General features: G+C 49.0%; 1 long non-coding RNA gene across 1 annotated transcript, besides 1 other annotated feature; it reads left to right on the top strand.

The window, feature by feature from the left end:
- Positions 1-7,075: 7,075 nt before the first annotated feature.
- Positions 7,076-9,709, top strand: LOC105376856 (uncharacterized). The gene is made up of 3 exons (XR_947058.2): positions 7,076-7,199; positions 7,589-7,822; positions 9,070-9,709. It is a non-coding gene; the product is annotated as an uncharacterized LOC105376856 (long non-coding RNA).
- Positions 7,895-8,810: an enhancer, noted in NCBI's record as "H3K4me1 hESC enhancer chr1:22743723-22744638 (GRCh37/hg19 assembly coordinates)". NCBI's record gives its function as "activates a minimal SCP1, AML or CMV promoter by ChIP-STARR-seq in primed H9 embryonic stem cells {active_cell/tissue: H9 hESC(primed)}" and the evidence as "EXISTENCE:reporter gene assay evidence [ECO:0000049][PMID:30033119]".
- Positions 9,710-11,090: the final 1,381 nt, after the last annotated feature.

Below are 11,090 nucleotides of genomic sequence, written 5' to 3'. Positions count from 1 at the left end.
ATTATACACCTATTTAGGTTAGCATCATTCTAATAATTAACCCAATAGACATTTCCCCCTTTCACTGTTAATTTCCCACCCTGTCTATATATTTAGTCATCTAATATTTATTGAGTTTCTGGTATGTGCCAACATTGTACTAGGTGCTGGGGGATTCTGGGACAAATGAGACAAGCCGTGCTTCATAATTTTAGTTTTTGCTGTCAACAACGACAGTGATCTCACTTTTCTAAAATCAGCACATACTTATTAATAAGTTTTCTCTGTGCCAAGCAAGCATAGAGGCAATCTCATTCCATTCATTATCTTTTTCAAACCTCACAGCAATTCTATAAAGTTGCTATTAGAGTGTCTCAAAATGCTTTCCTATAAGCATACAGTTTATTGGCAATAAATAAAACAACAGGATTATCTCTTAGAATTCAGCCCGTGACTTGTCTAAACTGGATAGAGGCTTCTAGAGAGGAATATAGGGCACTGCCATGTGAACAGGTGCAGGCCCCCTGCAAAGATCCTTCACCCCACTCCACCTGCTCCCCAGGCGCATTTGATGCTCTGCACCCCAAACCCACCTTTGCCTTCAACTTCGCAGATTTGTTTAGTGACCATTTTCTCACTCAAGGCTTTCATCCAGAAGAAATGCAGGCGCACACAGTGATGAGGGCTTTTTTTTTTTTTTTTTTTTTTTTTGAGACAGAGTCTCACTCCATTGCCCAAGGTGGTGTGTAGTGGTGCAATGTCGGCTCACTGCAACCTCCACCTCCCAGGTTCAAGTGATTCTCATGCTTCAGCCTCCCAAGTAGCCAGGATTACAGGCGCCCGCTGCCATGCCTAGCTAATTTTTGTATTTTTAGTAGAGACAGTGTTTCACAAGGTTGGCCAGGCTGGTTTCAAACTCCTGATCTCAGGTGATCCACCCACCTTGGCCTCCCAAAGTGCTGGGATTACAGGCATGAGCCACCATGCCTGGCCCATGAGGGATTTAAAACATATTTGTGTGTGATACCAAACATGTTTATATATTGTCACCTTTTCCATGACATAGTCAGAACTATTCCTTCGTGAGAAAGGACTTTGGAGACACTTTAGTATTTTTTGCATCATTTTAGAGACAAGGAAATGGAAGGTTGCAGAGGTTAAGAAACTTACTCATGGTCAGTAAGTGGCTGAGAGAGGCTTGGGAGGGTAATAGCTCCAGGACTTGGTGACCGGGAGCAGGGCAGGAGTCCAAGATGGTCTCCATAGTTTTGACTTGGACAACTGGGCACTTGGGGTCCCATTGACAGCTTGTGACTGTGACCTGCTTGTAGCCAGAGATGAAACCTGAAGCCCATGAGAATGATGTTGGGACTACCTGGTGATATGGTTTGGTTCTGTGTCCCCACCCAAATCTCACTCTGAATTGTGATAATCCCCTCGTGTCAAGCGTGGGTCAAGGTGGAGATAATTGAATCACGGGGTGGTTTCCCCCATACTGTTCTTGTGATGGTGAATAAGTCTCATGAGATCTGATGGTTTTATAAAGGGCAGTTCCCCTGCACGTGCACTCTTGCCTGCTGCCATGTAAGGTGTGACTTGGCTTCTCCTTTGCCTTCCTCCATGATTGTGAGGCCTCCCCAGCCATGTGGAACTGTGAGTGCATTAAATCTCTTTCCTTTATAAATTACCCAGTCTCGGGTATGTCTTTATTGGCAGCATGAGAACAGACTAATATACCTGGTGACTCCAGAAGACCTGGACTAAGGGCCCATGCCCCCTTTAAATTCACTTCCATCTTTTCCTAGGAAGCAAAGCATGGGGGAAATGGCTCCCCATTGAAGAAGTGGGGAGCACCTGCTGTGGCAGGGGTGGGAGGGGCTGCTGGGCATAGATGATATCAATGGTTTCAGCAATGCAGGCATTTCGGACTTCCTGGCATTTGCACAATTGAGGCTCCTTTAGGACCCTGGAAGAAATATCATCCAATAACCAGCAGATACCCCTGGCCTCCCAGAGATGCACTACCACCAGTGACCTTGGTGGTAATAACCTTCAGAAGAAAATCCAAGCAAGCACACAGCTGTTTGGAGAAAACTCTCCAACCCAGGAGCCATAGCCCCACAGATTTCAAAGAGCACAACTGCCTGCCTCTCTGGCCTGATAGCAATTAGAATTCTTCTGCATCAAGCATACCAAGATGAAACAGGTGGAGATTTGCCAAAGATCTACCTTCAGCCAGCACACCAGCTTTTATTCGGGTGACTTTCAGAGTGCAATGTGATGCTTCCAAGTTCCATTCCAGGTTCGGTTCTCCAATGGTGGGTGAATTCATATCCACAACAGCATAGAGCCCAAACCCAAGCCAGTCTCTAAGACAGAATCTTTCTTTATGTGCCATTGATTTGGGTCCTGCTTGGCAGTTTTGGTGAGCAGTGGTTTCTTTATGACAAAAGAGCTTCTTTCCTCAACTGCTTCTTAACCATGGCGGCAGCCATCACACTGGAGGGGGCTTGCTCCCCTACACAGGTCAAGGGCATCTTGGGGAGCATTTGGTTCACTAGGATAGAACCCTGGTCTCCTTGTGGTGGGCCCAGCAGAGGATGCTCTGTCCTTTCTTGTCTGGCCTCTAGGCTTCAGCACATGCTGTTCCTTCAGCGTGGAAGGCCTTTCCTGCCCCTTCTTTCCCTGGCCAACCCTCTTTGTCCTGATGGGCTCAGATCCATGAGATCACTTCCCCTAGCAGTGCCTCTCCATCATTCCCGCTTCCGCCAGCTGTCCGTCTTCTGGCTCCCACAGGCCTTGTGCTCCCTACTCCTGGTGCAAAGCATGCTATCTTTTGGTATCTTTTTTTACTTTTTTGAGATGGAGTTTCACTCTTGTTGCTCAGGCTGGAGTGCAATGGTGCGATCTTGGCTCACTGCAACCTCCGCCTCCTGGGATCAAGCAATTCTCCTGTCTCCAAGCAATTCTCCTGTCTCAGCTTCCTGAGTAGCTGGGATTACAGGCATGCACCACTACGCTCCGCTAATTTTTTTTTTTTTTTTTGTATTTTTAGTAGAGATGGAGTTTCACCACGTTGGTCAGGCTGGTTTTGAATTCCTGACCTCAAGTGATCCACCCGCCTCTGTCTCCCAAAGTGCTGGGATTACAGGTATGCGTCACCATGCCCAGCCATTTTTTTTTTTTTTTTTTTTTTTTTAGATGGGAGTCTCACTCTGTCACCTAGGCTGGGGTGCAGTGGTGCAATCTCGGTTCACTGCAACCTCCACCTCCCAAGTTCAAGCGATTCTCCAGCCTCAGCATCCCAAGTAGCTGGGATTACAGGCATGTGCCATCACTCCCAGCTAATCTTTTTGTGTGTATTTTTAGTCGAGATGGGGTTTTATCATGTTGGCCAGGCTGGTCTCGAACTCCTGACCTCAAGTGATTCTCCCACCTGGGCCTCCCAAAGTGCTGGGATTACAGGTGTGAGCCACCATGCCCAGCCTATCTTTTGGCATCTACTTGCTTTTCTCCCTCTCTCAACAGGGCGGAGACAGGGGCCATGTGCCAAGGTTCTTTATATCCTGTGTGCCTAACACAGTGCTTGGCATGTGGCTAGCCCCCATAATGGTTTGTGGAGGGAGTGAAATAAATGTACATTGTACTGGTGCAAAAGAACTGGAGGATTTAAATTCTGCTAATGACCTTAGAAGTGGTAGGATTCCTTTGTACTGAAAGGCGTGAGACAAATCAGGATAGGAACACCAGGAACCGGGCGCCTGCTGCCATCTGATGCCGATTTCTCTCTCTTGTTCTTTTAAGACAGCATCACAGACATCAGCCTGGAGACCTGGCATTGAGACTCTGCTCAGCCACCCGATTGCTGTGTGGTCCTGAGCGAGGCTTCTGGGCTTCAGTGTTCTCCTTCATGGAGCGAAGCAGTTGGTCTACAGACATGAGCTAGAATACATAATTTGGGGTGCTTACAAGTGCCAGGCACCGTTCTAAATATTTTACATGTATACTTCATTTAATGCTTACAACAACTTTATGACACGGGTATTGTTATTATCCCCAACTTCTTAATGGGGAAACTGAGGCACAGAAAGGTTGATTAACTTGCCCAAGGTCACACAGCTAGTAATGGATGGAGTTGGGGCTTTTACTCAACGATCTGTTTTCAGAGCCCACCTGTTAACCCCAAAGTCTCTTGGTTGGATGATGTATAAGACTCATTCCTGTTTTACAACAGAACCTTTATTATTCTCACATTGAAGATATTTACATCTGATGCCCTCAGAGCCCATTTTTAGCTGACCATCTCCCTGAAAGGCCAGAGGCATTCAGCATTTTTTTTCCTCTGCCCCTTGTGTTGGTTAGAGAGGAAATCAGTGAGGGTGCAGACTTGGGAACTGGGCAGGCCTGGATTGGCATCGCAGCCCCACCACTCACCCGCATGTAAAACACAGACCAATTCCTTTATCTCTTGGAGCTTCAGCTACAATGCCCGTAAAGTGGAGATGGGATCTTCTCCCTCTATGGCTGCGAAGATGAAATAATACAGATAGAGTTGCCAGATTTAGCAAATAGAAATACAGGGTGCTCAGTTAACCTTGAATTCCAGATCAAGGAATAACTTTTTAGCATAAGTATGTCCTATGCAATATTTGAGACATACTCATGCTAGTAAATTATTCCGTGTTGATCTGTAGTTCCAATGTAACTGGGCATCCTGTATTTTACCTGACAGCCTTACATGCAGAGGAAGCACTTAGTATGATGCCTGTCCCATTGGAAGGGATCAATACACTTTAGAAAGATCTCTGTTGAAACCCAACAGTTTGATTTCGTGGGACTCAGTTGGGAGGCCTGGACTCTGGGTAAAATCTGCATTCACAGCTGGGCGTGGTGGCTCATGCCTGTAATCCCAGCACTTTGGAAGGCCGAGGTGGGTGGATCACAAGGTCACGAGATCGAGACCATCCTGGCCAACATGGTGAAACTCTGTATCTAAAAATACAAAAATTAGCTGGACATGGTGGCGCGCGCTTGGAGTCCCAGCTACTTGGGAGGCTGAGGCAGGCACCTGAACCTGGGAGGTGGAGGCTGCAATGTGCTGAGATCGCACCACTGCACTCCAGCCTGGCGACAGAGCGAGACGCCGTCTCAAAAAAAAAAAGAAAAAAAAAATTCTGTATCCACCTGTTTGGACTCACCTGGCTGGGGATAACTGTGAACACCCCTGATTCACCCTGTGACTGTGCGTTTGAGTGGACAGGCCTAGGATTTCAGTAAAGGAGTCTTGAAAGGGCCTTTCTGAAGCACAAGCCGATGTGCCCACTGTCCAGGGGCAGTGTAGAAACTGCAGACAGCCCAGTCAGCAGTGCTCACAGCCAATCACCAGTCTGTCCAGGCTGACTCCAGTCTGTTCCCCATCCAAGGGCGCCATCTCGTGCCAGCATCAGGGTTGCCAGCTGTATATGTGGCTCCAGCAAAGGCTGGGACGTGAGGAGGGGCCCAGAGAAGCCTGGACTGCCGGTCCCTTTACTGGACCCCCCAGAGCTTCCTTCCCCATTTCCCAGCCATTGTTCAGCTTTCCTTTTCCGACCCATCTGTGTTTTTCTCTCGCTCTCTATCAGTGCTCGTATCGGCTTACTAAACAGCACCCGTAACACACCAGGGGCTCAGAGAGGCTGCAGGTGTGTGAGTAACAGCACCGAACCAGGAATCGGAAACGTTTGTGTTGAGACTAGGGAAACTATTTGCTAACTATATGCCCTTGGGGGAATCCATGTGACTCCTCTGCAGCCATTTGCTTTGTAAGATTGTGATAGTCCCCGGCTTGCACATCTTGAAGGAATTGTGGGGAAAAATTGGTGGTACATACAAAAGTGCTCTGGACACCCTATAGTTCCCTAACAACGTAAGTAATGTTATAGTATATGGTTACATAGCATCTCTAATAATGCAGTTTATCATTCATAACAGTTATAACAGTGATACTTCCTGGGCACCTAAGACCCCAGCTCTGACCAATGACCCAGAGACGCCAATACCTTCCTCCCTCCACTGTTTGCCTTTAACTTTTAGACCCAGAACCCTCCTTCCAGGCCAGCACTTCTGTGCTGTAGATACTTCCAGCATCTGGAAACCAGAATGGCTCAGGCAGCAGTAAAGGGCTCTGGATCTGCCTGCCCTTCCCCAAACTCCCTGGGCCTCAGTTTCCTCATCTCTTTATGGGGATGGTAGATAGCAGCCTCCCTTCTCGTGGGATTAAATAAAATAAGTGTGAAGCACCTGGTAACTTTAGAAATCTTTTTCTTTTTCTTTTTCTTTTCTTTTCTTTTTTTTTTTAGACAGGGTCTCGCTCTGTCCCTCAGGCTGGAGTGCAATGGCAAGATCTCAGCTCACTGCAACCTCTGCTTCCCTGGTTCAAGTGATTTTCCTGCCTCAGCCTCCTGAGTACCTGAGATTACAGGCAGCACCATCACTCCCAGCTAATTTTTGTATTTTTAGTAGAGAAAGCGTTTCATTGTGTTGGCCAGGCTGGAACTTTAGCAATCTCGACATAAATTCTAGTTCATATTTCCTTCAGATGCGGCTGCTATTCCAACTGCTTCCTTTTAGGAAGCAGCGTGGAGAAATGGAAATTGCATGGGGTTTGTAACCAGGCAGAAGTGACTTTGAATATCGGCTGTCACCAATGTCATCACTATGGAACTCTGGCAGGTGTCTTCACCTCTCTGAGCCAGTTCCTCCCCACCATGAAACAGGGATAAAAATAGAATCAATCTCCGTGGTTGGGTTTGGCTGACATTGCTTTGTAAAGTGCTATGCACGTTTCTGTCACTGCCTAGTTACCAGCTAAATGGCAGCTCTTATGTATTTCTTCCTCCTCTTTCAGCCACACCATCCATCTATTTATCCATCCATACATCCATGTATCCATCCATCCATTCATCCATGTGAAAACATCTGTTAAACTTCTACTGTGGGCCAGATCACAGGGCTAGTTGCTGGGGATGCAAAGATAATTAAGACATGAGTCTTGCTCTAGGAATTTGCAGCCTCATGGGGAGATAGCCATAAAAAGAATCACTTTCATTTGCTGAGCATCTATATGCAGCAGACATGGTGCTAGGACTCCACACGTCCTCTCAGTAAATCCCAGGAGACAGGACCCCAGAGGCATTGCTCTCATTCAGTGCTCTCGCCTCCCTCCTGGATTGCCTAGTCAGGTAAACCTGCCGCATACAGGTGGGAAGGGCCGTCATGGGGGTCTGAGAGAGGCCGGTGGGGCCTGAAGGAGAGAGTGCTTGGCTCCACGTGGGAAGAATTGGGCAGGTGGGAGCAGTTGCAGAGGGCTTGCAGAGGAGGTTGTCAGAGAGGGCGTTCTGGGTGGTTGGGGCAGGGGGCAGGGGGCAGAGGCTTAGAGGCACAGAGCAGCAGGGAGCCTCATCCTCAGGGAACACTGAGAGTTTGGGGAGGGAGAGTTGTTTTGTGTGGGAGGCAGGGTGGGAGTAGATGATGCTGGGGAGGTGGGAGTGAGGGGCCCAGATCATGAGGGACCTCGGCGTCCTGGCTCGGTTGAGCAGTTTGGACTTTGTGCTCTGAACATGTGTTTCAGAGTGAGACATGGAGAGGGGCTGATGTAACCACCCCAGCAGGAGTAAGGAGGCTGGAAGGAGGAAACCAGTGATGAAGGATTTGCCATAACCTTGTCCTGGATGGAGAGCCATGGCCAAAGTGGGTGGAGAGGAATGGCCATGCAAGGCAGCTGTGATGGATTCACCTCTGTGCAAGACAGCTATGACGGAGTTGATAGAAAGTGTGAGAACATGGGCCACCCCTCCTTGGATGTGTAAGTATTATAGACATCCTAGATATAAGTATTACAGACCCCTACCAGGACAGGGAATTCCAGAGGAAGAACAGGATTTGAGGGAAAAAGGCGGTAAATTAATTTTGATGTTCAATAAGCAAGTCAAAGTGCTGCATTCCAGGCAGTGGGCTGGACACCTTAATCCAAACCCAACAGTTCCGTACACTCCTATAACCACTCCCACTTTACAGATGAGGAAACTGAGGTCCGGAGACATTCAGTCTCTTCCCAAGATCACATAACTCATGAGTGGCAGAGCAAGGATTTGAACCCATGTCTGCCTGGCCCCAAGCCTGATGTGAAAAGGAAAATCACAGAGGGCTTTTCAAGGTTCCCATCCTGAAACTCGAGCCTGGTGATGTTCAGCTGTTAGAGCTGGGCGCTTAGAATCATCCCAGGAAGGTACTGACCGCGCCCTTCAACCCGGTCTGCTCTTGGCACCAGAAAAACCCTTTGGGGTTTCAGCCCTTCTCTGAGACTCAGCCTTAGCTAAGCTTACCCTGGGCCAGAGTGGCAGGCTGACCCACAGAGGGGCTGTGTGCGTGGCACCGACTCCCCAGTCCCTGGCCAGGCCACACCGTCTTGCAGAGCCTCGAATGTGACAGACAAGAGATACAGGTACTGGGGATTAATTTGTCGCTTTGGGGTTTGGTGAGAAGAAATGACGTGAGAGAAGGGGAGGAGAGAAAGGTGCGTGGGAGAGCTTGTGGCCCCTCAGAAGTGAACCAATGGATTAGAGGCACCAAACGAATAGTAATAAAAGCAGAAGCAGGGGCTGCCATGTTTGGGGGCTGCTTACCACCTACCAGGCCTTTTTTACTTTATGCATTATTTAGTCCTTACAGTAATCCTATGGCATTGAGGATTCAATTTCATTTCACAGAGGGGGAAACTGGGGCACAGAGAGGTTAAGTAACCTGCACCAGGTCACACAGCCATCAAGAGTTGGAGAGCCCATCACCATCATTCTTCTGCCTCAGCCCCTCCCACTCTACCTGGTGTGCCTGGCAGCCCTGAAGGCAGAGGAGAAAAATGGGGAGCGGGGAGGTGCAGGGCTGGTGAATCCAACCTCCATGAACTTCCTGCTGGGGCTGAAGGGGCAGGTAGGGGACCTGAGCTCTGAATCCATTCCACCCTGACTCCTCACATGACCTTGGATGATCTGTCTCCACCCTGGATTCAATCATCTTTGTGCAAAGAGAATATTCATTTAGGTGGCGTTTCAGTTTCTTTCCAGATTGGAATGGTGTGATTCTAAGAGTCCTGGGACAGAAGGAGTATTGGAGGTGTCAAGGGGCTGGACCGGTGAGGACAGGAGTCGAATGTGCCCCTGATCTCTGTCCCTCTCCTCGGGGCTGCAGCCCTTGTGACATCGAAGTGCCCCACCCCCTCCTTCGGCTTCCCTCGCTGCTGCGCAGAGGCCACTGGAGGGCGCTGTCTCCTCACACTTCTGGCTGAGCTCACCTCCGCTGTCTGAACCTCCTTTTGAGGCTGGAGAGAAATTGAGAGGCCTGGAGCCAGTGTCTGGGAGGCCTCTGGACACAGCTGGACCCACCGAGGCCACATGGGGTCAGTAGGATCTGAGCCTGTGGAAGGAGGTGCCAGAGCAATGACTAGGAGTCAAAGTCCTGGGCTTCAGGGCGAGGGCTTGTGGTGAGCTCTGGACAAATGGCTTTGTCTGTTCGATCCTCAGTTTTTGTATCTGCAGACTGTGGAGAGTGACCCACCTTATGGCACTGTTGTGAGAAGTGCTACAAATGAGAATGTACATGTGAGTGCTTCAAAGAACTCAGATGTTCTCCATGCCAGAGTGGGTTTTATTTATTTATTTATTTTTTGATGGAGTCTTGCTCTGTTGCCCAGGCTGGAGTGTGCAATGGTGCAATCTTAGCTCACTGCAACCTCTGCCTCCTGGGTTCAAGGAATTCTCCTGCCTCAGCCTTGCCGAGTAGCTGGGATTACAGGTGCACACCACCACACCCAGCTAATTTTTGTATTTTTAGTAGAGATGGGGTTTCACCATGTTGGCCAGGCTGGTCTCAAACTCCTAAACTCAAATGATCCACCTGCCTAGGCCTCAAAAAGTGCTGGAATTACAGGCATGAGCCATCTCACCTGGCTAATTTTTATATTGTTAGTAGAGAGAGGGTTTCACCATGTTGACCAGGCTGGTCTCAAACTCCTGACCCCAGATGATCTGCCCGCCTCTGCTTCCCAAAGTGCTGGGATTACAGGCATGAGCCACCGTGCCTGATCCGCCAGAGTAGGTCTTGATGGTTATCACCCTTGAAGAATCATCCAGTAACCCAAGGAGAAGATCATTTGGCTAGGGCCCCGTATGACCTTCAAACTGGCATAGGCACTGAACTGTTCCTTACGTTCTCACAACAGCCCCAAGAGGTATGAATTATTATCATCTCCATTTCATAGCTGGGAAAACCCAGGCTCAGAGAGGCGCCATAGCTCCCCCTGGGTCACCCAGCCACTGGGTGGCCTTACCGGAATTCAGACCCAGGTCTGTTTGGCTCCATAGACTTGCTTAAACTACTGGACTGTCCCGCACTGGCCCATGCCAAGTCAGGAAAGGGTTTGATGTGACCTACTAAAGTCCCTCGGGCTGAGGTTTCAGCTGAGTGTCCTTTATTTAGTCCTTTGGAGGTGTGGACCCGTATGTCTTTGGTATGGATCCACATTTCAGTGGGGTCAGTAACTCCCTGGATTGGTTTTGCCATTTTTTTTTCTCCCCTTGGACTTATACGCATGATTCTTCCCCCTCCCTGGGAAGCAGAGCTGGCCCTGTGACATAGGTGGCTTTACCTGCAGCTTGACCTCTTTACCTCTTTTTTTTTTTTTTTTTTTTTTGAGATGGAGTCTCACTCTGTTGCCCAGGCTGGAGTGCAGTGGTGCAATCTCGGCTCACTGCAACCTCTGCCTCCTAGGTTCAAGTGATTCTCCTGCCTCAGCCTTCCCAGTAGCTGGGACTACAGGCGCACACCACCACACCTGGCTAATTTTTGTGTTTTTAGTAGAGATGGCGTTTCACCATGTTGGCCAGGCTGGTCTCGAACTCCTGACCTCTCTCAGGCGATCTGGCCGCCTTGGCCTCCTAAATTGCTAGGATTACAGGCATGAGCCACGGCACCCGGCAACCTTCTCATATGAGTGGCAGATGGGTGGAAGAGGCTGGACTTATGTCCATTCACAGGCTCCCCACCCTGGTCAGGGTGCAGGGTATTTGCTGTGCTGG

This window comes from Homo sapiens, chromosome 1 (genome assembly GCF_000001405.40).
Source record: "Homo sapiens chromosome 1, GRCh38.p14 Primary Assembly".
Taxonomy (NCBI): Eukaryota; Metazoa; Chordata; class Mammalia; order Primates; family Hominidae; genus Homo; species Homo sapiens.
Note: the sequence above shows the minus strand (reverse complement) of the source record. Positions and strands in the feature narration are given on the sequence as shown.